The sequence below is a fragment of the Homo sapiens genome, chromosome 10 (genome assembly GCF_000001405.40).
Source record: "Homo sapiens chromosome 10, GRCh38.p14 Primary Assembly".
NCBI lineage: Eukaryota > Metazoa > Chordata > Mammalia > Primates > Hominidae > Homo > Homo sapiens.
The window spans coordinates 75,232,398-75,260,364 of record NC_000010.11 but is presented as its reverse complement, the minus strand read 5'-3'; the positions used below and the strand labels follow the sequence as shown (position 1 = coordinate 75,260,364).

General features: G+C 51.1%; 1 protein-coding gene across 1 annotated transcript, besides 7 other annotated features; it reads left to right on the top strand.

The window, feature by feature from the left end:
* Positions 24,160-24,454: a silencer, noted in NCBI's record as "tiled region #13796; K562 Repressive DNase unmatched - State 1:Tss". NCBI's record gives its function as "represses a minimal TATA promoter and a strong SV40 promoter by Sharpr-MPRA in K562 cells {active_cell/tissue: K562}" and the evidence as "EXISTENCE:reporter gene assay evidence [ECO:0000049][PMID:27701403]".
* On the top strand, positions 24,408-26,724 carry COMTD1 (catechol-O-methyltransferase domain containing 1). Its single transcript, NM_144589.4, has 7 exons — positions 24,408-24,530; positions 24,622-24,749; positions 24,993-25,098; positions 25,187-25,305; positions 25,373-25,427; positions 25,622-25,755; positions 26,140-26,724. The coding sequence occupies exons 1-7, from the start codon at positions 24,437-24,439 to the stop codon at positions 26,290-26,292; spliced, it is 789 nt and encodes a 262-aa protein (NP_653190.2). The 5' UTR covers positions 24,408-24,436; the 3' UTR covers positions 26,293-26,724.
* Positions 24,490-24,629: a silencer, noted in NCBI's record as "silent region_2513". NCBI's record gives its function as "represses an Ori minimal core promoter by ATAC-STARR-seq in GM12878 lymphoblastoid cells {active_cell/tissue: GM12878}" and the evidence as "EXISTENCE:reporter gene assay evidence [ECO:0000049][PMID:35858748]".
* Positions 24,790-24,869: a silencer, noted in NCBI's record as "silent region_2512". NCBI's record gives its function as "represses an Ori minimal core promoter by ATAC-STARR-seq in GM12878 lymphoblastoid cells {active_cell/tissue: GM12878}" and the evidence as "EXISTENCE:reporter gene assay evidence [ECO:0000049][PMID:35858748]".
* Positions 25,000-25,289: a silencer, noted in NCBI's record as "silent region_2511". NCBI's record gives its function as "represses an Ori minimal core promoter by ATAC-STARR-seq in GM12878 lymphoblastoid cells {active_cell/tissue: GM12878}" and the evidence as "EXISTENCE:reporter gene assay evidence [ECO:0000049][PMID:35858748]".
* Positions 25,450-25,679: a silencer, noted in NCBI's record as "silent region_2510". NCBI's record gives its function as "represses an Ori minimal core promoter by ATAC-STARR-seq in GM12878 lymphoblastoid cells {active_cell/tissue: GM12878}" and the evidence as "EXISTENCE:reporter gene assay evidence [ECO:0000049][PMID:35858748]".
* Positions 26,000-26,179: a silencer, noted in NCBI's record as "silent region_2509". NCBI's record gives its function as "represses an Ori minimal core promoter by ATAC-STARR-seq in GM12878 lymphoblastoid cells {active_cell/tissue: GM12878}" and the evidence as "EXISTENCE:reporter gene assay evidence [ECO:0000049][PMID:35858748]".
* Positions 26,310-26,459: an enhancer, noted in NCBI's record as "active region_3608". NCBI's record gives its function as "activates an Ori minimal core promoter by ATAC-STARR-seq in GM12878 lymphoblastoid cells {active_cell/tissue: GM12878}" and the evidence as "EXISTENCE:reporter gene assay evidence [ECO:0000049][PMID:35858748]".
* Positions 26,725-27,967: the final 1,243 nt, after the last annotated feature.

The following is a 27,967-nucleotide window of genomic DNA, read 5'->3' as shown; positions in this document are numbered from 1 at the left end:
AGTCCGAATAGCACTCACATTAATGGGGCCACTTGAGGACATACACATGGGGGCATGGCAGACCAACTTAGGCAGAAGGCCCTTTGTCCTCTGAAGGACTGGCTGATTGGAGCTGTGGTCACCCTACATAGTGACGTAAGACTATAGAGTCCAGATTCAACGCAGTCCCTATCAGAGCCCCAGCTGACCTCTTTATAGAAATTGACAAGCTGATTCTAAAGTTCATATGGAACTGCAAGGGACTCAAAATAACCAAAACAATCTTGAAAAAGAACAAAGTAGGAGGACTCACACTTTTGATTTCAAAACTTGCTACAAAGCAAGAGTAATCAAGATAGTTTGGTACTGGCACAAAAATAGGCATATAAGTCAATGGACTACACAAATTAACTCAAAATGGATCAAAGACCTAAATGTAAGAGCTAAACTGTAAAACTCTTAGAAGAGGCCGGGCGCGGTGGCTCACGCCTGTAATCCCAGCACTTTGGGAGGCCGAGGCGGGCGGATCACGAGGTCAGGAGATCGAGACCATCCTGGCTAACACGGTGAAACCCCGTCTCTACTAAAAATACAAAAAATTAGCCGGGCGTGGTAGCGGGCGCCTGTAGTCCCAGCTACTCGGGAGGCTGAGGCAGGAGAATGGCGTGAACCCGGGAGGCGGAGCTTGCAGTGAGCCGAGATCGCGCCACTGCACTCCAGCCTGGGCGACAGAGCGAGACTCCGTCTCAAAAAAAAAAAAAACAAAAAAAAAACTCTTAGAAGAAAACATAGAGTTTTTTGTTTAGTTTTGTTTTGTTTTCTGAGACAGGGTCTTGCTCTGTCACCCAGGCTAGAGTGCAGTGGCTCAGTCCAGACTCACTGCACCCCCTTGACCTCCCGGGCTCAAATGATCCTCCCACCCCAGCCTCCCAAGTAGCTGGGACCACAGGCGTGTGCCACCCTGCCTGGCTAATTATTTAATCTTTATAACCTTGGATTTGGCAAAGGATTCTCAGAATGACCCCAAAATCATGAGCAGCAAAAGAAACAAAATGACAAATTGAACTTAAAACTTTAAACTTTTATGCCCGTAGGACACCAACAATAAAGTGAAAATGCAACCCACCGAAAGGGAGAAAATATTGTAAATCATATATCTGATAAAAGACCTCATATATTTTGAAGCTATATTATTGGGTATCCATGAAGTTAGAATTATAATTTTCTCCTGATGAATTTAAATTTTGTTATTCACCCTCTATATTTCTTTTTTTAATTAATTTATTATTTTTTTAGAGACAGGGTCTTGCTTTGTCACCCAGGCTGGAGTGCAGTGGTCCAGTCTTGGCTCACTGCAGCCTCCAACTATTGGGCTCAAGTGGTCCTCCAACCTCAGCTTCCCAAGTTGCTGGGACCACAGGCACATGCCACCTTGCCTGGATTTCTTTTTTTTTTTTCTTTTTTTTTTTTTTCTTTTTGTAGGGACAAGGTTTTGCCATGTTGTCGAGGCTAGTCTTGAACTCCTGGCCTCAAGAGATCCTCCTGCCTCAGCCTCCCAAAGTGCTTGGATTATAGGCAGGAGCACCACATCAGGCCAACCCTCTGTACCTCTAGTAACACCTTTTTGCCCTAAAGTCTATTTAGTCTATACTGATATGTCTATGCTGGTTTTCTTTTGGTCAGTAGTTTTGAGGATTTTGTTTTTTTGTTGTTTTTTGTTTTTGACTGTTTTACTTAGAATTTTTTAATCTGTCCTCATGTTTTAGATGCATCTCACGTAAGCAGCATTTAGCTAGTCTCTTTTTTAACGCAGTCTGATAGTCTATGCCTTTTAATTGGAGAGTTCAGTCTGTATTTCTAGAGATTACAAATGTATTTGGCCTTATTTCTTTCTTTTTTTTTTTTTTTTTTTTTTTAGATGGAGTTTCACTCTTACTGCCCAGGCTGGAGTGCAATGGCACAATCTTTGCTTACTGCTACCTCCACCTCCCAGGTTCAAGCAATTCTCCTGCCTTAGCCTCTCAAGTAGCTGGGATTACAGGCATGCGCCACCACGCCCAGCTAATTTTGTATTTTTAGAAGAGATGGGGTTTCACTGTGTCAGTCAGGCTAGTCTCAAACTCCTGACAGGTGATCCACCCATCTTGGTCTCCCAAAGTGCCGGGATTTCAGGCATGAGCCACCGCGCCCAGCCTGACTTTATTTCTATGATCTTATTTTGTGGTATTTTGGGCATTGGTTTGGGTTTGGGGTTTGGGGTTTTGTTTGTTTGTTTGTTTTTGAGATGGAGTTTCACTCTTGTTGCCCAGGCTGGAGTGCAGTGGTGCAATCTCATCTCACTGCAACATCCATCTCCCAGGTTCAAGCAATTCTCCTGCCTCAGCCTCCCAAGTAGCTGGGATTACAGGTGTGCACCAACATGCCTGGCTAATTTTTGTATTTTTAGTAGAGATGGGGTTTTGCCATGTTGGCCAGGCTGGTCTCAAAATCCTGACCTCAGGTGATCTGCCCGCCTCAGCCTCCCAAAGTGCTGGGATTACAGGCGTGAGCCACCGTGCCCGGAAGGTTTTGGTTTTTGTCCTGCTTTCTACGGATTTCTTTTCTTCTTCTTTGCTGCATTATTTTGAATTGATTCAGCTTTCACACTTATCCCATTTTTTCCCCCATTTGCTAGTTTGGAAGACAGGCATTCTATTTCTTATTTTTTTATTGATGACTCTTGGCATTTTATTTCATTTTTTTGAGACGGAGTGTTGCTGTCACCCAGGCTGGAGTGCAATGGTGTGATCTCCGCTCACTGCAACCTCTGCCTCCCAGGTTCAAGCAATTTTGCCTCAGCCTCCCAAGTAGCTGGGATTACAGGCATGTGCCACCACACTCAGCTAATTTTTGTATTTTTTTTAGTAGAGACTGGGTTTGCTATGTTGGCAAGGCTGGTTTTGAACTCCTGACCTCAGGTGATCTGCCCTCCTTGGCCTCCCAAAGTGCTGGGATTACAGGCCTGAGCCACCATGCCCAGCCAACTCTTCAAATTTTAGAATGATTACTGAACTTAACATAGTCTAATATTAACCAATATCGTAGCCTTCTCCTGGACAAGGCAGGGCACTTTGAAGACTTTACTTCCATTCACATCAGGCCCAGCCTTTTAGCTTCATCTCTTGTTTAACCCCATGGAACAGACATTCTTTTGGACAGTAAGGGTGTTTAGTTTCACCCATATTTTTATTGTTTTCTCAATTCATCATTTTTTTTTAATACTTCAGACTTTCTCCCTGAGATCATTTTTCTTCTCTTCATGTTCATTCGTCAGAAATTCTTTTGGGGGAGCATGGGGTCTGTTGTATATAACTTCTCTCAGTTTTAGCGTAAATGAAAATGTCTTTATTTCCAAACTTAGTCTTGTTTTTTGCATTTGTTATTGAGATATAATTCACATACCATAAAATTCACCCTTTGAAAGCATATAATTCAGTGGTTTTAGTATGTTTATAAGGTTTTGCAAACACCAGAACTTTTCATCACTCAAAAAAGAAACTTCATGCCCATTAGCAGTCAATCCCTATTCCCCTCCAATACCCTGGGTCCTGGCAGCTACTAATTTACTCTCTGTCCCTATGGATTTGCCTATTCTGGACATTTCATAAATGAAATCATACAACATGTGGCCTTTGCATCTTTCAATTAGCATGGTTTCAAGGTTCATCTATGTTGTAGCATGAATTAGAATTTTATTCCTTTTCATGACAAGTAATACTTTATTGTATGGCTATACCCCTTTTTTTTTTTTTTTTTTTTTTTTTTTTTTACAGGTTTTCATTCTGTCACCCAAGCTGGAGTGCAGTGGTGCAATCATAGCTCACTGCAGCCTCGACTTCCTGGGCTCCAGCAATGTTCCCGCCTCAGCCTCCTGAGTAGCTGGGACCACAGGTGCATACCACCACGCCTAGCTAATTTTTGTTTTTTTTGTAGAGACACGGTTTCAACATGTTGCCCAGGCTGGTCTCAAACCCCTGAGCTCAAGCAATCCACCTGCCTCAGCCTCCCAAAGTGCTGGGATTATAGGTGTGAGCCACCTCACCCAGCCACTATACCACATTTTATTTATTCATTCATTAGTTCATGTACATTTCAGTTGTTTTTGTTTTGTTTTGTTTTGTTTTTTGAGACAGGGTCTTGCTGTGTCACCTAGGCCGGAGTGCAGTGGTGTGATCACAGCTCACTGCAGCCTTGATGTCCCTAGTTCAAGCGATCCCCTCCACCTCAGCTTCTCAAGTGGCTGGGACCACAGGCACATGCCACAACACCTGGCTAATTAAAAAAAAAAAATGTAGAGATGGAGTCCCTCTATGCTCCCAGGTTGGTCTCAAACTCCTGGGCTCAAGCGCTACTCCTGCCTCATCCTCCCTGATATGCTTTGGCTGTGTCCCCACCCAAATCTCATCTTGAATTGTAGCTCCCTTAATTCCCACATGTTGTGGGAGGGACCTGGTGGGAGATAATTAAATCATGAGGGTGGTTTTCCCCATACCACTCTCATGATAGTGAATAAGTCTCATGTGATCTGATAGGTTTTTGTTTTGTTTTGTTTTGAGACAGGGTCTCGCTCTGTCACCCAGGCTGGAGTGCAGTGATGTGATCTCAGCTCATTACAACTTCTGCCTCCCAGGTACAAGCAATTCTCCTGTCTCAGCCTTCCAAGTAGCTGAGACTACAGGCACACACCACCACGCCTGGCTAATTTTTGTATTTTTAGTAGAGATGGGATTTCACCATATTGGCCAGGCCGGTCTCGAACTCCTGACCTCAGGTGATCCACCCACCTCGGCTTTCCAAAGTGTCGGGATTACAGGCGTGAGCCACCACATCCAGCCATTCTGATGGTTTTATAAGGGAAACCCCTTGCACTTGGCTCTCATTTCCCTCTTTGTCTGCCACCATATAAGATATGCCTTTTGCCCTCCACTATGATTGTGAGGCCTCCCAGCCATGTGGAACTGTCAGTCGATTAAACTTCTTTCCTTTATAGATTAGCAAGTCTTGCCAGGCACAGTGGCTCATGCCTGTAATCCCAGTACTTTGGGAGGCCAAGGCGGGTGGATCACCTGAGGTCAGGAGTTTGAGACCAGCCTGGCCAACATGGCAAAACTCCGTCTCTACTGAAAATACAAAAAAATTAACCAGGTATGGTGGCGGATGCCTATAATCCCAGCTACTTGGGAGGCTGAGGCAGGAGAATTGCTTGAACCCAGGAGCCAGAGGTTGCAGTAAGTGAGATGGCACCACTGCGCTCCAGCCTGGGCAACAGAGCAAGACTCAAAAAAATAAAAAATAATAAATAAATAAATAAATAAATAAATAACCCAGTCTCAAGTATGTCTTTATCCGCAGCATAAAAACAGACTAACACACTCCCTAAGTGCTGAGATTATAGGTGTGAGTCACCACACCAGGCCCATTTTTTGGCTATTATGAATATGCTGCTATGAACATGTTAAGTCCAAGTTTTTATGTGGATATATGTTTTTAATTCTCTTGAGTATACACCTAGGATCCACACTTACTCCAAAAAGATAGTTTCACTGGGGTGTGTAGTTCTTCACTGGGGTGTATAGTCCTTAGTTTTGTGACTTTTTAAAAGCCTATTGAAATTAATATTCTGTCTTTCATTGCTAATATTGATGCTGTTATTACTAATCAGCCATTAGTCTAATTTCTTCTAATTATAGAAGTTGTGTGGCCGGGCACAGTGACTCACATCTGTAACCCCAGCACTTTAGGAGGCCAAGATCGGCAGGTCGCTTGAGTCCAGGGGCAACATGGCAAAACCCCACCTCTAGAAAAAATACAAAAATTAGCCAAGCACAGTGGTATGTGCCTATAGTCCCAGCTACTTGGGGGGTTGAGGCTGGAGGATCAATGGAGCCCAGGATACAGAGGTTGCAGTGAGCTGAGATCATACTACTGCACTCCAGTTTGGACAATAGAGTGAGACCCTTTCTAAAAAAAAAAAAAAAAAAAAGTTGTGAACAAAAAAAAACTTATTTTTTTGGTTCTTTTAAGATCTTCTTGTCTTTGGTATTCTTCACTTTGACTATGATGTATCTATAGATATGATGTATCTATGAAGTATGTATGGATTTCTTTCTGTTTATCCTGTTTGAGATCATTGGAATTCCTGAATCTGAGGATTCATGTTTTTTAATAATCATGGAAAACTCTCAGGTACTGTCTCTTTGAATATTGCCTCTCTCCCTTTTTACTTATAATTTTCAAAACTCTGCTTAGATGTATATTAAATATTTTTTATTCCATCCTTTATGCCTCTTAACCTGTTTCATACTTTCCATTTTTCTATGCTGTATTATGTGTAATTTTTTCAGATCTATCTTCCAGTTTACAAATTCCACCTCCAGCTGTGTCTATTCAATTATTTAACTGTGTCATTGAGTTTTTAATTTCATACCTGATATATTTAAATTTCTAGAAGCTCTGTTTGGTTCTTTTTTAAATCTTCCTGGTAATTTTTAAGACCTCTTGCTTCTTTCTTGTGCCTCAGAAGCTGTGGAGGTTTCAGGCGGCCCAGTGAGGTAGATGTCCTCAGGGTGTGCAGCAGTTTCACAATCACTTACTTCCTGGACTGATGTTTCCAGTTCATTTCTGGCCTCTGGTAATTCCCTTACCTTCTTAAAGGCTCTTCCATTAACTGAAGGGATTTCAAAAGTAATTTTTCTAGCATTGTTAGATGTTTTGCAGCTAATAGATTTGTGTGTCTTTAGTCATCATATAGATTTAAATCCAATTTGTTCCTTTTCCAATGTTCATGCTTTCAGCAAATAACTATGAACCACCTACTTTGTGCCAAGAACTTCTGAGAATTTAGTGGGGAGCAAGACTGAGCCTGTCCCTCCCCACAGGGTCATTTACAGTCTATGGGGAAGCCCAACACTTAACCAGGCAACTGCACCTCACAGTTAATCAGTGTTCTGATGGAGTAAGCATTAGTAAACAACACCATTCTGAGATATGTAGAGGCCAGAAACACTCTAATATTCAAATTGGTTCTCTTTCTATAAAAATTCAACATTTATTTAAGAGAAAGGACTATCCCACAAAGCAAAACCCAGGTTCTTTTCCTACTTTAGAAGGCATTAGGGAAGCTGTCTGTTATTATTCAACTACATGTTGCTATTGAAACATACACTTTTTAGGGGGAAGATCTGGTGCCCCACCTCAACCCCAAACTACTCAGAAAATAAATTATTCCAGCCACGTACAGTAGCCTCCCAGAGGATGTTCTGGTAAATTTTTTTCATCTCACTACATTTACACTGGTATTTTAGTTGCTGCCCCAGCCATCCCTTACTTCCAGTGTTCTGGGTAACTACTGCTGCATAACAAAGCACTCCAAAACAGTGGCTTCAAATGATAACTGTCTGTTCTGGATTGAATTGTGTCCCCCCAAAAGATATGCTGAAGTCCTAACTCCCAGTACTTCAGAATGTGAACTTATGTGGAAATACAATCATTGTAGATGTAATGAGTTAAGATTAGGCATACTGGGATAGGGTGAGGCATATTGGATTAGGGAATCCAATATGACTTGTATACTTATAAGAGGAGGGAAATTTGTACACAAAGACACACAGAGAACACAAGTGAAGATGGAGGCAAAGGTTGGAGTGATACAGCTACAAGCCAAGGGATGCCAAGCATTACCTACCACCAGAAGGTGAGAGAAGGGCCTGGAACAGAATTACCCTCAGAGGCCAGGTGCAGTGCCTCATGCTTGTAATCTCAGCACTTTGGGAGGCCAAGGCGGGCAGACCACCTGAAGTCAAGAGTTCAAGACCAGCCTGGCCAACATGGTGAAACCCCATCTCTACTAAAAATACAAAAATTAGCCAAGCAGGGTGGTGTGCACCTGTAGTCTCAGCTACTCAGGAGGCTGAGATAGGAGAACCGCTTGAACCCAGGAGGCAGAGGTTGCAGTGAGCCAAGATCACACCACTGCACTCCAGCCTGGGCAACAGAGTGAGACTCTATCTCCAAAAACAAAAACAAAACCCAAAAAAAGAATTACAAATTACCCTCAGAACCCTCAGAAGGAGCCAACCCCACCAACACCTTGACTTCAGATCTGGCCTCTGGAACTGTGATAAAATTAATTTATGTTGTTTTACCCAATTTGTGTTTTACCTAGGAAGGCCTTGAAAACTAATACCCTATCATTTTATTCTGCTCATGAATTTGGAGGTTACCTGGACACAACTAGGCAGTTCTCACTCTGGACCTCACACATGGCAGACAGCTCCAGAGTGGCTGGGGCTGGGACTGTGTCATCTCAAGGGCTTCTTCATGAGTGTGTCTGACACCTGGGCTAGAAAGACTCAAACAGCAGGGGCTGAATGAATTGGGGCCCCTGTCTGCCTCTTACTTTGTGTGGTCTCTACACATGGAGGCCTCCACAGGGGAGATGGACTTCTTACAGGACACCTGATGGCTCTCAGATCAAGGGCTCAAGAGAATCTGGGAGATGCGATGTGACCTTTTCTAACCCAGCCCCGGAAGTCACACGGCATCACTTCCACTACATTCTGTTCAAAAAGGCTGTCGTAGAGGCCTTTCTTGTCTGATCAGATTAGTTCAAGGTAAGGGACGTAGACTCCATCTCCTCATGAGATAAGTGTCTAAAAATTCTGTTTTTTGTTTGTTTGTGTTGTTTGTTTGTTTTCCTGAGACGAAGTCTTGCTCTGTCACCTAGGCTATAATGCAGTGGCATGATCTCTGTTCACTGCAATCTCTGCCTCCCTGGTTTAAGGAATTCTCCTGCCTCAGCCTCCCGAGTATCTGGGATTACAGGCACATGCCACCACACCCAGCTAATTTTTGTATTTTTAGTAGAGACAGGGTTTCACCATGTTAGCCAGGTTGGTCTCGAACTCCTGACCTCGTGATCCACGCCCACCCCTCCTTGGCCTCCCAAGGTGCTGGGATTACAGATGTGAGCCACCATGCTGGGCCGAATTCCCTGACATGCTTTAAACCCCCACAACAGCTCCGTAAGGAGACATCTGGCCCGAGGGATTGGGGAAAGCTCTGTGGAAACAGCAATGTCTGCCAGCCTGAAGTCATAGGCATGAGGCATTAGACAGGTGAGCAGGGCAAGTTCCAGAGAGAGGAGCCACTCCCCTTCTACCCCCAGCCCTGCGCCTCCTGACTAATGCTGGAAAACTGCTCCTTCCTTTCCTCACCCACCAGCCCCAGGCTCAGTACTTCAGCTGAGGGCACTGGCTGTATGCCAGGCCCTGAAGGCATATGATCCAGCCCCTCCCCAGTTATTGCCCAAGCCAAAAGTCATCACTGGGATCCTCTCTACCTGCTACCCAAGCCAAAGGCCAACCCCAGGCTCCTCTCTGCCCACTGCCCAGGCCAAAGGTCATCCCTAGGCTCCTCTCTGGCCACTGCCCAAAGGCGGTGGAGGCGAAGCTCAGGTGCTTTCTGTGCCTTCATGAGTGTATCCGACACCTGGGCTAGAAAAAGGACACAGGCCCTCCTTTTTTTCCCTAGTCTAAGGCCATTCCTGCCCCTGCCTTCCCCATGAATCTGGGGCAGCCCTCAGAGAGGGCTCCCTACACACACAACAACCACCCAGGGTTTGGGGAATCAGTTGCAGGGTCTGGAGCAGTTACTCTCCCCCTGCTCACCCCACTGTGGCTCTCAAATTCTCTGCCTTCTGAAGGACCTCTTCGAATCTCCCTACCCTACTAGGTCACCTACTCGTCAGTGTCTGGACTGAGATTCAATGTCAGGCCTGTCAAACTCTAACCTGAGATCCTCTCTTCTCCCATCTTCTCACCCTCCTCCTTCTCTACTCTTTCTCCTGCTGTTTTTCCCTCCTTTCCTCTGTCTGTCTGTTTTTGTGTCCCTGAGCTCTTTCTTTCTTTTGCTATAACACCTCCCCGAAAGAGGGGCTGTTTAGAGGCCAGAATTATCTCTGAGTTGGGTTTGGGTTTCTCCACAGTCATTGGTACCAGAATCTGGCCACACTCATTAGGGAAAGTCCATCGAGGAATGCACCATGGTGACTTGCTGCCTCCCCTCTACTCCACAATGGCTTTTCCTGGGTCTTTAGTCTGAGACCCAGAGTGGGATGGATAGAGAAAGAGAGAAGGCCAAAGACCAGAATGGCAAGGGAGGAGGTTATGCCCCATGGTCAGACTATGATAGGACAGATGCAATGAAGGAGACAGAAATTAAATTCTTACCAATAATCAAATCATCCCAACCTAAAAGCTCCTGCCCAAAGAGGCACTGCCACTTGCCAGCTGACATTAACTATGTCACTTCATTTCTCTGAGCCAATAATAATCCCCTCCCTAGAGGGTTGCTATTACAATTCAGTGTGATAAGGACAGTTGATTCCATTTGGAATGCTTTGGGCTGCAAATAGCAGAAGAGTCAACCAAGACTTGCTTGAGCAATATAGATATTTAATTATTTCATATAGGAAGTAAGGGTCTTCAAGCTTGGTGCAATGATTCAGAAATGCCAGCGAAAACCCAGCTTCTTTTTATGTTTCTGCTTCACTATTCTTAGCTTGTTGTTTGCATGCCATGCTCTTTCCTCATGGTTGAAAGCTAGCTGCTGCAGCCAGCCCAAGGTATCACATCCAAGAAAAGGAGAGGAAGGCTGGGCGCAGTGGGTCACGCCTGTAATCCTAGCACTTTGGGAGGCCAAGGTGGGCAGATCGCTTGAGGTCAGGAGTTCGAGACCAGCCTGGCCAACATGGTGAAACCCCGTCTCTACTAAAAATACAAAAATCAGCTGGGCATGGTGTTGCAGGCCTGTAGTTCCAGCTACTCAGGAGGCTGAGGTGGGAGGATTGCTTGAACCTGGGAGGTGGAGGTTGCAGTGAGCCAAGATTGCATCACTGCACTCCAGCCTGGGAGACAGCTGTGTCTCAAAAAGAAAAAGAGAGACAGAAGAGGGAAATTAATAATAATAATAAACACCCCTTCAGGTGAAGAACTCATTGCAGGTGATCCAAGAACCCCACACTGAGAAATTCTGCCCTGTGGTGTGATCACCTGATTGGATGCTCATTCTCATCTCAGATGCTTTTGCATTGTGAAAACTCCTTCGAGGAAAAAGTGATGCCCCAGTGGCAGAATTCCATGTGCCTGTGGGGCTAGGCGGGGGAGGGAGAAGGCTTCCTGGCACCTCAGGTCACGTCACAGAACTTCAGAGCTGGAAGGGACCCTGAAAGATCCTCCTGCCAACCAATCACACAGATGGGGAAACTGAGGCCCAGGGCAGACCAGTGATTTCCTCACAGTCATGTAGTGGAGCCAGGGCCAGGGCCAAGGAGTCCTGGCTCTGAGCCCTGTTGGTGCTCTGGGGCGGTGCTCAGAAGGGAGGCTTGGGCCAGGAAATATGGGGTCTTAGGTGGACTCCCAGAAGCAGACTCTGAGACCGAACTCCATTCAAATGATCTGCTGTGGAGGTTTGGAGGAGAAGGGGAGTGAGAGAAGTAGGGTAGGGAAGGGGGTGAAGGCGAAGCTGGAATGTGGTCTCAGCTGGAGTCCCACAGTAGCCTTATTCCCCGGGGATTCTGGAGCATAGAGAGCGTCACACAGTTACTCCCGCTCTTGTACCACCATGGAAGTCAGCCACAGTGTGCCCAGGTTTTGGCAGGCAGAGCGTGGCCTTCCACGTGGCGGTGGCTCTCGTTTGGCTAAGGACACATCTCCAGTGAAGGGGCAGCTGTGGGGCATTAGCAGTGACACCCCCTTCCCCCCAGCAGCTGGGGGACAGGTAACTGCAGACTAGAAGGAAAATACACAGGTCTCTTCCCCAGAGCCACGAGTCATCCCTGGTATTGTCAGCACAGAACAGTGTCCAGGGGCATAGGCAGTCCCGCCTGCCACCTCAGTTTCCCTGTTCATGAAATGGGCGTGCAGGACCAAGGGCAGCCAGGCTCCCTTCAAGCTCTGCCTTTCTGAACTCCTGGGATTCTGCTTCCACCTCTCCCCAAAGTTCCACTCAGGCCTCCCCCTGCCCCAGACTCCCCACTTCCCCAAGCAGGGGAAGAACCACTGAGACCGAAGTTGGGTCCCCACTCTGTCAGGCCTGAACCCCACGAATAGGCAGACGCAACAGTTTCTCGGGGTGTGTACCTCCCTTGCCTGCCAGTGGGCCTACGGAGTCAGTATTTCTCAAAATGTAAGTACAGAGACCACACCAGGCTGTCGGTAAATTCATTATCCCATTACGTGGGCCTGAATTATTCAGTGCTCTTGAGGCTGCTTCAGTAACCTGCCCAAGCACAGTCAATGCTGGTGTGAGCAGACTGGATGGAGTCAGGCCAGGCCCGGGGCAGGATGGGTGCCAGTGTGACGGATCTGGGCCCAGAGAGGCTGCCAGGGCTGGAAGGCACAGGAGGCTTTGGCTGGCAGGGCCTGGGCCCCAGGTGTTCCTGGGGCAGGGGAGGGGGTTGTGCACCAAAGCCCAGTCCTTCTCACCCCCAGGAAATCAGCAGGGTGTGCCTTTGGGGCCCCACTGGCTCCTAAAAGCCCAGGGACAGAAGATCTAGGCTCCACTTCTTCCTGGCTGCGTGACCTCCAGCAGGTCATGCACCCCTCTGAGCCTTAGTTTCTTCATCCGTGAAATGCAGCAATGATGCTAAAGTTTCCATCTCCATTCTCCCCTGTAAGAGTAGAGCTGATTTTTTCATTGAGCTCATAATCACTGGAATAAAGACCTTTTCTTGGCTGAGGTGTTGCTGTGTGACTAAATGCCAGTCAAAGGGAGGCAAGCAGGAGCTCCCTGTGAAACATTCAGCAAGGATCCTTAAAGGAAGGGGTGAGTCCTGTGCTGTCCCTTGCCTTTTCCCTGAAAACTGGAGTGAGGTGTAAGGCCAGAGCTCAAACAGCTATCTTACTCAATGAGGAGAAGTCACATGATGAGGATGGCATGTCCTCCAGGATAGTTCAGTGGTTAGGAACTGTGGGCCCTGAAACCAGAGGACCTGGCTTCAAATCCCTGCTCTACCACTTATAAGCTGTGCAACTTGGGGCAAGTGGCTTAGCCTCTCTATGCTTCAGCTTTCTCCTCTGTAAGACAGGGATAAAAGTGGTACCTCCCCCCTTACAGGGCTGACTTGAGGAGTAAGTGGGTTAATATGAAGCCTCGTCCCATGGGGAATAAGGCTTCATAAGAAGTGGCTGGTACACAGGAAGTGTAATATATGTGTCGGCTGTTATGATACCATTTTATTTCATTTATTTTATTTTTATTTTTATTTTTTTCTTGCTACAGAGTCTCACTCTGTCACCCAGGCTGGGTTGCAGTAGCTTGATCTCGACTCACTGCAACCTGTGCCTTCTGGGTTCAAGTGATTCTCCTGCCTCAGCCTCCTGGGTAGCTGGGACTGCAGGTGTGCACCACCACCACACCTAGCTAATTTTTGTATTTTTAGTAGAGACGGTGTTTCACCATGTTGGCCAGGATGGTCTTGAACTCCTGACCTCAGGTGATTCACCCGCCTCGGCCTCCCAATGTACTTGGATTACAGGTGTGAGCCACCATGCCCAGCCAACGATCCAATATTAAACATCTGCAGGGCTTCGCTGTATAGCTCAGAGATATGAGCCCCCCTGCCCCCCATGTCTCCCAGAGCCTCTTGTCAGTCTGGACTTTTTCCTCGGGTGAGTGTACCCCTGGGGCAGCAATGCCAGGGAGCTTTATTAAGCCAGGACACAAACAGCTTTGCCTGGAGAGAAAGCCCCTAGCCTGAGCCACTGGGGGCAGGAAGCAGAGACTGGGCCTCTGGGTTGGAGTCCACAGGAGGGATCCAGATGAAGTTCTTGGGAAGAGAGAAAGAGAAATAAGGTCTCCTGACTGGCCATAGACCCCAGACAGGAGTCTCCCCTCTCTGGGCCTCTGGGAACTGGATTAAATCAGAGGTCACAGCTCATATGCCAGCAGCATAAAGACCAATATAGAAAATGAGTGAAGTTGTTTGGGTGTGAGGCAGCAGGGAGTGGTGGGGGCTGGGGCAGGGGTCCTTAACCCATCTGAGGTGGGGGGTGGGGGGTGGGGCACCAGGCAGCCCCAGCAGACCTGCTCCGCAGCTAAGTGGGCCCCATGTAGGCAAATCTTTCACTGTTTCAAAAGGAATAGAAATTAAATCTGAATTCTTTGTGAAATCTGACTGTTTAGTGTTGGCTCCATTGAAACAAATAAAACCCTGAGCAAGGCAAATAAAAATCTGTCCCCAGGCCAGCTCAGGGGCTGCCAAATGCAAACAAGAGCTGAGAGGTCCCCCGAGCAGGGCAGGCTGCACCCTGCAGTCCACGGCTGCATTTCCCTGCATTTCTGCAGGGAGGGCATAGGCTGAGCGTGGGGGTGGCATGGAGGAAAGGGGCAAGTGGCTGGGAGTGTGTCCCTCCTGGGAGGCAGGTGCTCAGGGAGGCGAGCCTGACCACTCAGCACCTCCCTGCTGGGCTCAGGATGGCAGTGGGGGTTGGGCAGAGGCAGGGAGTCTGCCCTGCAATCTTCAGCCACACCCTGGCTCCCTGAACTTCAAGTTCTTCCTCTGAGAAACAGACGGAGTCTTTGGCTTCCCAGAGCTGATGGGAGGCAAGATGGGAAACCCTGAACTCTTAGGAATTGAGCAAGAATGGATCTGCAGAGGCCCTGGGGCCAGCCAGACCTGAAGGCAGCTCCTGCGTGAGGCAGCACCCCCGCCCCCCTGCCCTGAGGAGATCCTGCCCAGTGGTGTAGGTGGGGTTAGAGTGTTACTGTGGCTTTGGGGTCACTGTGGAGCATGTGGGACCTGTTAGATTGGATTGTTCATCCTGACCTTTCACTCATCCACCTGTAATAGGATTACACAGGTGGCCTTGCAGGGCCACCCCACAGAGCGGGTAGAACACACTCACTTACCCTGATACTACAGGCTTGGCCAAGTGAGTGGCTTTGGCCAATGGAACTTCAGCAGACTTGGCACGGGCAGGGGCTTTCAACGCACCTGTGTGGTGCACCTCTCGTGCTTGTGCTGCCCACCAGGCAAGAGCATCCCCAGGTCTCTGCTGCTTCCCAAATGATCTGGACCCACAACTTGAAGCAAAACCATGCCAGCTGACTCCTGAACCAGGAGAGAGAAAGTAAATGATTATTTTGGAAGCCACTGAGGTCCAGGGCTGTTACAGCACTGTTGCAACAGAAACCTGTTTCTCAGGCCCAGGAGAACACAGGCTTCCTCAAGCCCGCTTCAGCTTGCTGCCCGGAAGCGCCCACTCCACCTGGTCATCCACTGTCCCAGAAGTCCCTGTGACCCTGGCCCTGGGGCAAATAGAGAGACTCCTACTGGAGTGGGACCCCCAAGCTTGGATCCTACAAAACTGGAGCCAGCCCCTACACCCTGCCCGTGGGACTTTGGATAAGTCACTTCTCCGCCAGGGCCTCACCTGCAGAATGTGGGGATCTCATCTCACCCACAGGGAGATCCAGAGGGGCCATGAGACCCCACGGGCCTGCCATAGGGTGAGGGTGGGCTGCCCAGGGCTGGCAATTGGGTTTCTCAGGGAGGGGAGGGACTGGCTTGCCATAAATCTGTCTGCAAGGGGACTGGGCAAACTCACTCCTGAGGAAATGGAGGCCTCACTCATGCAGGGCACGATTCCAAAGTTCATTGTGGAATCTGCCACTCTAGCCTGAAGAAAAAGCAAACAGGGTTATCCAGCACCAACTCTAAACCATCCCTGTGGGCATGAGCCACACTGCCTGGGGACTGGAATAAGTTAGGACAGCTCTGAGCCTTAACTAAAAGGATATGTATACAGTTAATCATTCCTTAAACACAAAGGGCTCCATTTTCTCCTAGAACAGAGTGTGGAGGTAGATGCTGCTGATGTTGGTTCAAGGGCTTGACAATGTCTTTGAGAACCAATAAACCGTATTTCCTCTTGCCATCCTCACTGGTGTTTTTTGTTTGTTTGTTGTTAATCCTTAACTTTGTTGCCTCATGGCCACAAAATGGCTGCTATGGCTGCAAGCATTTCATCTTTATACAACTCCATTCAAGGTAAGAAGAGACTAAGCAGGAAAAGAGGATTTCTTATTATCAGAAAGAAAAATGTCCTGAGAAGCCCCCCTTTATCTGTGGCCAGGAACGAACCACACAGTCACCCCTAGCAACTATGTGGGTAAGAAAGTAGTATCCTGGGAAAAGGACTAGGATGGTTATGGCAGCCTGAGACTGATCATAGTTCCCCCACAGAGTTGCACATGTTGCTGCTTAAACAATATCAGGCCCATGTTGGCAAGGCAGGAGGAGGAATGGCTCCGAGCTGAACAGTAACAGTGTGGGCTGGAGGTCCAGGACTCCAGTGAGTTCTATCAATGGGAGTGGACCGGGCAGGGCTTTTAATTATAAGCCACAGAAGCCACTCAGTGGTAAAGGACAGATTCTACTTTGTTGCAAACAACAGAATTCACTTTGTTACAAACAGCAAGTTCACTTTGTTACAAACAGCAGACTCTGGGAAGACCAGAGAAGCAGGCTTGGATGATCCACTACCAGGAACAATACAGCCGGGGAGCCCCACCCAATCTCACCACAGGACTGTCCTAACTACAACACAGCTACCGCCACAGCCTGCCTCTTGGTAGAGGCTCCACCACAGCCACCCCAGTGGAAACAGGCACCTGCACCGCGTCATACCTGCTTGCCGGGAGATCACTCTCCTCCACGCCCAGCTAGCTCACCTTGCCCACGTTTACTTGCTTCCAAGTCTTGTGCATCTGATCGGTGGAAGCTAGGTCATGTGCCTGCAGGGGAGTCTGCAAAGTGTGTTTATCTTCTTTTGGGGGAAGGAGGGACTCACAATGTAGTCCCGTGTCTCAATGTGGAGAGATAAGTGCTGCAAGGGGGCCGAGCATGGTGGCTCATGCCGGTAATTCCAGCACTTTGGGAGGTCAAGGCAGGAGGATCACTTGAGGTCAGGAGTTCAAGGCCAGCCTGGCCAACATGGTGAAACCCCATCTCTACTAAAAATACAAAAATTAGCCGGGCGTGGTAGCAGGCACCTGTAATCCCAGCTACTCGGAAGGCTGAGGCAAGAGAATTCGCCTGAACCCAGAAGGCAGAGGTTGCAGTGAGCAGAGATGGTACCTTTGCACTCCACCCTGGGCAACAGAGGGAGACTCCATCTGGGAAAAAAACAAACAAACAAACAAACAAACAAACAAAAACAGAGCTGTAAGACTTTCTTTGTTAATTTTCAAAGAGCCCCATGAAGTCTCCACCACTGGAAGGTGCCTGAGAATCAGCTGAGGTGTCCGGCAGAAGCAACGATACCCAAGAGTGGCCGTGATATGCAGCCCTGGCCACCTCCAGGTAAGAAAGGAAAAAAACAGCACAACCAGAAAACACACACATGTAAGCCATCCACTGGGGACTCCTATTAACACCTACGTGCCAGGACAGAATTGAACCAGAGAAGCTGCATCACATGTACATTGCTGGTACATGGTGGATGCCTCCCAGAAGGACTAAATTTCCAAAGGATTCAGGAGCCCTGGACTTGGGCCCATGGTGAGATGACAAGCCTTTATGTGAAGCTGAGACAGAGACAGTTTCACATATTGGCTCTGCCACCTATGTTCCTTGATGGCTGGGATCTTGGTGTGCACATCTGGAAGATGGAGACCATGCTAGCTCCCTTAGAGAGTTGCTGAGAGGAACAGTCCCACCACCCAGTGCATTATGCAGGAGCAAGGACCATGTATTTAAATGTCTAATACCAGCACTTCTCAAGGATGGGGGACGGGATGGAGGTGGTGCATTTTCACCCTTCCAATCATCCCAAGCAGTTAGAGGCTGGGGCAGGCAGTATTTTGACCCCATAATCTCTGCCACCAATGTCACTCCCTTGTTTGTGTTGTTTGGTTATTTTGTTTTGTTTGAGACATTGTCTCACTCTGTCGCCCAGGGAGGAGTGCAGTGGCACCATTTCGGCTCACTGCAACCTCTGCCTCCTGGGTCCAAGCAATTCTGATGCCTCAGCATCCCGAGTAACTGGGATTACAGGCGTGCACCACCACGATTGGCTAATTTTTGTATTTTTAGTAGAGACAGGTTTCGCCATGTTGCCCAGGCTGGTCTCGAACTTCTGAGCACAAGTGATCCATGTGCTTTAGCCTCCCAACGTGCTGGGATTACAGGCATGAGCCACTGCACCTGGCCTGTTTTTTGTTTTTTGAGACAGGGTCTCGCTCTGTCACCCAGGCTTGAGTGTAGTGGTGTAGCCACAGCTCACTGCAGCCTCGACCTCCCAGGCTCAAACAATCCTCCCACTTCACTTCCCAGGCTCAAGCAATCCTCCCACCTCACCCTCTTGAGTAGTTGGGACTACAAGTATGCACCACTAAACCTGGCTATTTTTTTTAAAATTGTTTTGTAGAGAAGGGGTCTCACTATGCTGCCCAGGCTAGACACTAACTCCTGGCCTCAAGTGATCCTCCCACCTTGGCCTCCCAAAGTGCTGGGGTTACAGGTATGGGACTTCAAAGATATAACCAAGTTTACTAGGCAGCTCTCTTAAAATAGGGAGATTATCCTGGATTATCTGAGTGGGCCCAATGTAATCACAGGAGCCCTTAAAAGCAAAAGAGGGGCCAGGTGCCGTGGCTCACGCCTGTAATGCTATCACTTTTGGAGGCCAAGGTGGGTGGATCACCTGAAGTCAGGAGTTCGAGACCAGCCTGGCCAATATGGTGAAGCCCCATCCCTACTAATAATAAAAAGTTAGCTGGGCATGGCGGCGCATGCCTGTAATCCCAGCTACTCAGGAGGCTGAAGCAGGAGAATCACTGGAACCTGGGAGGCAGAGGTCGCAGTGAGCTGAGATTGTGCCACTGCACTCCAGCCTGGGTGACAGAGACACAGTCTCAAAAAAAAAAAAAAAAGGCCGGGCGCGGTGGCTCACGCCTGTAATCCCATCACTTTGGGAGGCCGAGGCAGGCAGATGACGAGGTCAGGAGATCAAGACCATCCTGGCTAACACGGTGAAACCCCGTCTCTACTAAAAATACAAAAAAATTAGCTGGGCGTGGTGGCAGGCGCCGGTAGTCCCAGCTACTCAGGAGGCTGAGGCAGGATAAGGTGTGAACCCGGGAGGCAGAGCTTGCAGTGAGCCAAGATCACACCACTGCACTCCAGCCTGGGCAACAGAGCGCAACTCCATCTCAAAAAAAAAAAAAAAGCAAAAGAGGAAGACAGCAATTGGGAGCACCAGAAAGATGCCAGGTGCCTCTGCTGGCCTTGAAGATGGAAAGGTTTCAAGAGAAGGAACTGAATTTTGCCAACAACTGGTGAGCTTGGCAGAGGCCCCACAGCCCCAGGGGAGAACTTTGTCTTGAACCTGGTGAGACCCTGAGCAGAGAATCCAACCCGGCCTTGTCAGACTTCTGACCTACGCTCTGCGAGATAACAAGTGGGTGTTGTTTTAAACTACTAACTTTGTGGCAGTTTGCTGTACAGCAATGGAAAACGAAGACAGAAGGTTCATGCCCATTTCCTAGTTTTCTAGAGTTTCTCAGAAACTCTGAGCTTACTCAGCTGCAAAGTGAGTGGTGGGGCAGATGTTTGAACCCAAGTCCATCTGTTCTAAAGCCCATGCTGTAGCTTTCCCATTCAGCCTCTCCAGATGAGGAAAGTGAGTCACTAGGGGCGCTGCCAGGGTCAGCTCCCCAGGATCTCAGCACAGAGGAGGTGGGACCAGGTTGTGGCCCCGTCATGCTCCCAGCTCATGTGAGGAGCCCCAGGAGCCCCCAAGTCGCCATCTGTCTGTGTCTACCTGTGTCAGTGCACTTGGCCTGAACCGTCCTAAAGCCCCTGGAGTTACAGCCCTGCCTCCCGACGTCTTAGGTAAAAGGTACTGTCCTCCTTGGGGAGCCCAGTAGACCTCACCCAGACATCGGCGGTGGTCTGCTGGCCACTGAGGCCCTTCTCACTCTAGGGGACTCCACTTCAAGCCCTAACTTCTCTCATTCATGCTCAGAGTCAGAGGAAACTGGTGCCTCATGAGCCAGAGCAGACATGAAGCTCAAATATGTGTTCAGTTTGGCCAACAGTGTTTAAACACATACACACACACACCCCGATGTTTAAAATTGTGAAGTTTCACACTGAAAGCCATATTGCCAACCTCTGTTGGGGAATCGGAAGCTCTGGCCATACTGGGCCCATCTTCCCACTTGGCATCCAAGGCTAAAGCCAAGTGGCCACCATGTCCCCTGGTGGAGGGTGAGCTCTGGAGTGCTCCAGTACCCACCACCCCCTATCACCTTGCCCTGCTTACTTCACCTGCCTGGCCCCAAAAAACATCTGAACTCCAATCCCTTAGGATTGATTCTACGACCTTACCTTCTGCCTCCTGCCCTGCTCAGTCCCGGGGGATCTCGGGCGACAGCGCCCAGCCTGTGTGATGCTAGCAGGGCTATGAGAAATAGGAGTGGGACCAGTAGGATGGAAACTCAGGGGTCTGTTCCAGACCTGTTTGTGTGGAGAGCTGTTCCCAGTGACCCAGTTCAGCTAAGACTGTCAGGCTATCTGCGTCTGTCTGTATCAGTCTACTCAGCCTGCCCCCTCTCTGCCTGGTGGGGGCCTAAGTGCAGGTGCTGATGCCCATTTTCTCTGCCCTGATGAGGCTTCAGGTTCCTTGGTGCTTAATGGGGCAATGGCATTTGGCCAAAACGCACCTGAGACAGGTGGAAATGACCTCCCCTGCCCATTCCCTCCCCTGGGGGCTGCTGCCCACATCCACAAGGCCCTTTGGGGAGGCTCAGCTCCCCCCACCCTCTACCAGGCCCACTGCCTGGAGAAGAATCAAAACCCACTCTGTCTTCAGCCCCCAGGCTTCTAGGAAAAAGCCCTAGAACAGATTCGGAGGCGACACTTTGCTCCCTTCCTGGTGAGCTGAGATACTGGTGCCGCCATGCAAGAGACAAGAAATGAGTAGCAAAAAGGGGAGGGGGTGGAAAAATTAAATTCTGCGTCATCAGCAAGGTTTCAAACAATCGCTCGCCAACTGAAGTGGGTGCCACGTCTATAAGTCATTCTGTTTTATAGACCATTAGGATCTCCAGAGAGAACCTGCATGGAGACCACTGCTTTTTGTTGAAATTAAAATGTCAGAGAAAAAGAAATAGAACAAAACAGGGAATCTGCAATTAATTACCAGGCCATAAAAATTCAATAATCAGGAAGCAGAGCGGCCGCCGGCCCAGAGGTATCAGAGCCAGCGTAACAAGAATGGAATACATTAATCTTTTCAAATTAGTTTTTTAATCTGACGGGGATAGATGGTGACATGCCTCCCCTCCCCACCCGCTCCCCCTCAACCTCCACCGCTCCGGCCTAAAGCCAGGCTGTAGGAGGGAGTTTCAGTGTGAGCTGGGGGCCTGCTGCAACCTGGACCCCCGGGCTGAAGGGAGAGAGCGGTCAGCGGCACCACCTGAGCGCAGGGCCCTCAGGCCAGCTCGAGCTGGGCCCTCGTCCCAGCAGAGGAGCCAAGAAGGCCTGTTCCCTCTGGGTCCCAGGGTTCAAGGGAGAGGTACGCGCGTTTCCTCTGTTGGCTGCAGGGTCTGGGCGGTGGTCTCTGAGCTTTCCTGCTCTGGAAAATGGGAACAAGATCACAGCCGCCCCCGGATCCTGGATGCATTGTGCCTGGTGCCCGGCAGGTCCTCAATAAAGGGGCCCTGCTGTTACTATTTTTACTCCTGGCAGCAAGGAGCGCCAGGCAGCGCCAGAACTCTAGTCAAGAGCATTTATTTAGCGCCTGCTGTATGCTCAGGCCTGGGAAGGAGAGACCAGCAGCCTCAGTCCTTACCCGCAGAATGAGATTCACGGTCAAGTTAGAGGCCAAGCGGGACGTAGAGGGTCAAAGAGTAAAGGGCAAGGAGCTTGTCCTCGAGCAGTGCTGCTAGCCCGGAGGCAAGTCCCAGGAGGGCCGAAAGGGCACGCATGCACGGAGACAGCAGGTTCTGCCCCCACACAGCCATGTGCTTCGGGGGCTGCCGGCTGGTTGGTCAAAGAACCAGCCCCACCCTGTCTCTGATTAGAGGCCGGCCCGTAGCCTCACCCCAGAGCTCCGCCTCCTCCTTCCTCGCTTCCGCTAGGCCCAAGGTTCCTGCAGCTCAGATCAAGAAACTGCAAGTTTCTGGCCTTCATCCTCAGCCAAGCCACTCTCTCATTAACTACTCAACAAGCTGGCCTCTGGGCCTCGCTCAGGTTGAGCCCCCGCCTGGGAAGCCCCCCAGTGGAGCTCAATGCCTAGTCAGCGTTGTTAAAATGGATTCTTGGCCGGGTGCGGTGGCTCACGCCTGTAATCCCAGCACTTTGGGAGGCCGAGGCGGGCGGATCACATGGTCAGGAGTTCGAGAACAGCCTGGCCAATATGGTGAAACCCCGTCTCTACTAAAAGTACAAAAATTAGCCAGGCATGGTGGCTGGCGCTTGTAGTCCCAGCTACTCAGGAGGCTGAGGCAGGAGAATCGCTTGAACCTGGGAGGCGGAGGTTGCAGTGAGCTGAGATCGCGCCACTGGGCTCCAGCCTGGACGACAGAGCAAGACTCCATCTCAAAAAAAAAAAAAAAAAAAAAAAAAGGCTCTTACAGCCTCCACCCCAGGGGACATCTGCAGTGCAGCAGGAAGATAACCGGCTGCCCTTCGGACTTTGACTCCTTTTAAAGGTAACATGACAGCTCACTAAGTGCCAGGATTTTCTCATTTGGTCCCCTGTGTAAGTCCTCAGCCTGGATTTTCTCATTTGGTCCCCTAGGAGGTTGGGACTATTCATAACGCCATTTCACAGAGGCAGAAGTCGTGAAGCTTAGGCCACCCGCCAGCTGTGTGTGACCTGCATCTCTGAAACCAGCTTCACTAAGAATACCAACCAGAGGCCAGGCACGGGGGCTCACACCTGTAATCCCAGCACTTTGGGAGGCTGAGGCAGGAGGATCACTTAAAGCCAGGAGTTCGAGACCAGCCTGGACAACATAGTAAGACCCCTTCTCTTTAAAAAAAAAATTTTTTTTTTTAAATTAGCTGGGCACAGTGGTGACCGCCTGTGGTCCCAGCTACTTGGGAGGCTGAGGCAAGAGGATTGCTGAGCCTGGGAGCTCGATGCTGCAATAAGCAGTAATCTTGCCACTGCACTTCAGCCTTGCCAGAGACCTTGCCAAAAAAAAAAAAAAGAACACCAACGCCAGGCACAATGGCTCAGGCCTGTAATCCCAGCACTTTGGAAGGACGAGGCAAACAGATCACTTGAGGCCAGGAGTCTGACACCAGCCTGGCCAAAATAGCAAAACCCGTCTCTACAAAAAATACAAAAATTAGTTGGGTGTAGGGGTGCGTGCCTGTAGTCCCAGCTACTCCAGAGTCTGAGGCAGGAGAATCGCTTGAATCAGGAGGTGGAGGTTGCAGTGAGACCAGATTGTGCCACTGCACTCCAGCCTGGGTGACAGAGCGAGACTCAGTCTCAAAAAAAAAAAAAAAAAGGACAGCGTCAGCGTCTTTCACCTCCTCCGGAGTTTGGCGCATGGTAGGGGTTCAATCAGTGTTCTCTGGACAGTGTTTCAACAGAACAACCTTGCAAGGGAGCTTCACCGGCTTTCTCCCCAAGATGTCTTCATTCCAACCTACCAACATAACAGCAGCTGCCACTTATGTATTGTGCTACTGTGTGCGAAGCTGTGGGATCTGGTGCCTTTTATGGTAAGATTGTAGGCCTCATTTTACAGGAAGGAAACTGAGGCTCAGAGAGACTGGCAGGACCAAGATTAGACACTCGTATCCATCTGGCCCCCAAAAGCAGGATTTTAACAGCTAAGAATATGGTCTCAGTTCCACAGGCCCACCCCAGGGCTCCTGAACCCCAATTCGAGGCTGCATGCCCTCAAACCAGTTCCCTCACTCCTTCAGCCTGATGCTTTGGGGCATCTTGTCCAGGAGGCCTTCCCCCTTTAATCTCTATCTCTTGTACTTGTGACTATCTTGTAACTTACACTGGCGCCCTCCATACACAATTCACATATGCCCCCAAGGGGCCTCAGAATAAATGGTGGCGAGGAGAAAAAAGCATTGGCAGGAGGGGAATGGAGGCAGGCACCTGGACTGCGGGCACAGGCGGGAAAATTCAGATCTAGGCGCTTGGCCTGCTCCCCGCAGGGGCGCAGTTCCCGGCGCGGCCACCAGATCGCGCCCGGCTCTCTCGGGCGGGGCTTGCAGTAAGGCTGTGTGGCCGCCAGATGATGCCCGAGACCGCGGCTCCGCGGGTAGTGCCCCGACAAGGTGGAGCCCGGCGGGCCCGCGAGTCCGAGACCTGTCCCAGGAGCTCCAGCTCACGTGACCTGTCACTGCCTCCCGCCGCCTCCTGCCCGCGCCATGACCCAGCCGGTGCCCCGGCTCTCCGTGCCCGCCGCGCTGGCCCTGGGCTCAGCCGCACTGGGCGCCGCCTTCGCCACTGGCCTCTTCCTGGGTGAGCAGGACCTGGTCCCGGCGGGCGGGTGGGCGGGCGCAGAGTAGGGCGCGGCGTGGCTCAGGTTAATCCAACACCCTCTCCCCGTCAGGGAGGCGGTGCCCCCCATGGCGAGGCCGGCGAGAGCAGTGCCTGCTTCCCCCCGAGGACAGCCGCCTGTGGCAGTATCTTCTGAGCCGCTCCATGCGGGAGCACCCGGCGCTGCGAAGCCTGAGGCTGGTCAGCAGGGCGCGGGACGGAAACGGGCGTCCCTCTCGACCCCTGCGGGTCCCACGTGGCTGTGTGACCTTGGGCTGGGCCCTGGCCCTCCCTGGGCTTCCGGCTTCCCTGGGCCGGGTGCGGTGGGCGTTCCGAAGGGCCAGTCCCCCAGGCCACGCCCAGAACCGCGCCCCTGGGGCTTGGGACCCCCAGGGCGAAGGTGGGTGACCTGCATGGCTGGTGCCACCCTCTCCTTTCACGCAGCTGACCCTGGAGCAGCCGCAGGGGGATTCTATGATGACCTGCGAGCAGGCCCAGCTCTTGGCCAACCTGGCGCGGCTCATCCAGGCCAAGAAGGCGCTGGACCTGGGTAGGGGCACGCGGCCGGGATCCCGGAGGGCCGAGGTTTCCGGGCCGACCCCCACTCTGGGCTGAGCCCGTCTGTGTCCTGGTCCCAGGCACCTTCACGGGCTACTCCGCCCTGGCCCTGGCCCTGGCGCTGCCCGCGGACGGGCGCGTGGTGACCTGCGAGGTGGACGCGCAGCCCCCGGAGCTGGGACGGCCCCTGTGGAGGCAGGTGAGCGCCCGCGCCTAGCTCTGCAGCCCCAGGCGGGGGCGCAACGGCTGACCCGCTCCCTCCGCAGGCCGAGGCGGAGCACAAGATCGACCTCCGGCTGAAGCCCGCCTTGGAGACCCTGGGTGAGCACCGAAGCGGGAAGGGCTTTGAAGCCATTCATTGCAAACGAGGCTGCTGTGTGGCCGAGCTGTGACTGGGCCTGCCGGGCAGGTTAAGGGCAGGGCCGGTTGTCACAGAGCCCGGGCCGGCCTGGGAGGGGCCTCAGGGCCGCCGGGGCCGCGGACTCAGCCGCACCTGCCCTCCCTCCCCCCGCAAGACGAGCTGCTGGCGGCGGGCGAGGCCGGCACCTTCGACGTGGCCGTGGTGGATGCGGACAAGGAGAACTGCTCCGCCTACTACGAGCGCTGCCTGCAGCTGCTGCGACCCGGAGGCATCCTCGCCGTCCTCAGAGTAAGGGATCCACTGCGGGGGAGGAGAAAGCACCCTGTCGGGCCGGGTCCCCATCTTTTCCCTTGACTCCTCTTATACCCCAAAGCCCCACCCAGTCCAGTCACGTAGGCTACACCCCCTCCGGGGCTCCGGCCCCGGTACCCAGGCTTTCCTCCGCTTTGGTTCTGTCTCCAGCTCTGGTCACCTCCTGCCCGGGCACCTCCCTCCGAGGCCCCGCCTCCCGCCCAGACACCTCCCTCCGAGACCCCGCCTTCCGTCTGGGCACCTCCCTCCAAGACCCCGCCTCCCGCCCGGGCACCTCCCTCCCAGTCCCCCGCCTTCCGCCCGAGCACCTCCCTCCGAAGCCCCGCCTCCCACGGCCCGGTTGGCCCCGCCCTCCCGCAGGTCCTGTGGCGCGGGAAGGTGCTGCAACCTCCGAAAGGGGACGTGGCGGCCGAGTGTGTGCGAAACCTAAACGAACGCATCCGGCGGGACGTCAGGGTCTACATCAGCCTCCTGCCCCTGGGCGATGGACTCACCTTGGCCTTCAAGATCTAGGGCTGGCCCCTAGTGAGTGGGCTCGAGGGAGGGTTGCCTGGGAACCCCAGGAATTGACCCTGAGTTTTAAATTCGAAAATAAAGTGGGGCTGGGACACACGACCTCCTGAGCCTCCGTGTGTGGCGCTGGATGGGGAAGGGAGGGAAGGCCCAGCACAGACAGCTCCTGCCTTCAGTGAAAGGGGCCTTGAGATTCGTCCCCTCCCTGGCGCCAGGTCTGTGGCCCAACTGCAGGAACCTCCAGCTGGCAGGAGGCAGGTTATAAAGTTTTAACTGGCCTGGCCACGTGTAATGGCCAGAGACCCCAGCACCTCGGGCTTGTCTGCCTCCTACATCTCTCCCTCAGGGCAGGCGAAGCTCTGGTTCTGAGCAGCTGGGACTGGTAGAGAGCCACGTCTGGTGTCTGACAACATGAAAGAGGATTGCAGGGGACCACGGGTGTCACTTGTGTGCTTTTGTAGGTGATGCCAGTTCTGCTGGCGGCTTGCTCATGTCTTCACAGCACAGTCAGCTCCCCAGCCTCACCTCTCCAGTGGAGGCCCTGGTGGGGGAACATCACCTCTAAGAGCCAGGCCAGTTGGCCTGGACCTGAGGACCTCGGGGTTGACTTGAGTATCCTGCCGTGGGGTTGACTTGAGTATCCTGCCGTCTCCTTGAAATTCTTAAGTGAGGGGGATCACTGGCCAGGGAGGCGTGAAGCAGACAAGCCTATAGGTACAGCAGTTGTTACTACACTCCCTAGAGGATGAAGAGAACTTCAGGCTTTCCTGAACCATCTGCCTATGAGGGGAGGTGGAGAAGGAACCAGGCCTCATGGAGCACCTTCGACCCAGGTGCTCTGCTTATTTAAATCTCCCCAACCTCACAGATCTTATCTCCACTGGCAGATGGTCAAATTCTTTCCACTGACACTGCCTCAGGCATAAGTGGCATTAGCCTGGAATTCAAGCAGCTTTTGCCACTACCTGGTAAGCCTCGGTGGTGGGAAGTGTCCCTGGAGACTGATGGAAGCAGAGCTAAAAGAGCCACATGAGGCTGGGCACAGTGGCTCACGCCTGTAATCCCAGCACTTTGGGAGGCTGAGGCAGGTGGATCATTTGAGGTCAGGAGTTCGAGACCAGCCTGGTCAACATGGTGAAATCCGGTCGCTACTAAAAATACAGAAATTAGACAGGTGTGGTGATACACGCTTGTAATCCCAGCTACTCGGGAGGCTGAGGCAGAATTGCTTGAACCCGGGAGACGGAGGTTGCAGTGAGCCGAGACCGCACCACTGCACTCCAGCCTGAGCAACGAAGTGAGACTCCGTCTCAAAAAAAAAAAAAAAAAAAAGCCACACGAGCTCACAGCTCCTGGGACAAACTTTGCATTTTGGACACTACGCAAGACCACGGCTGGAAACCTACCCTTTTCTAACTCATAAAAGCATATTAGGATGCATGTGGGTGAATAGGTTCAATTTACTCTAAGGAAATCCTTGACAAAACAGTTAACTCACTCGTGCCACACCTCAGTCCAAATTACTGTAGCCACTGCCCAATAAAGGGCCACCCATTAGCTAAGGGGCAGCAGTCCCCATGACTAGGGTTTTTCTCTTTGAAGGACCACCAGCAGTGGTTAGTTGCCTGCGGGTCTACTTCACACTGCTGGAGTTGCTTTCAGGCCTAGCCTGCAT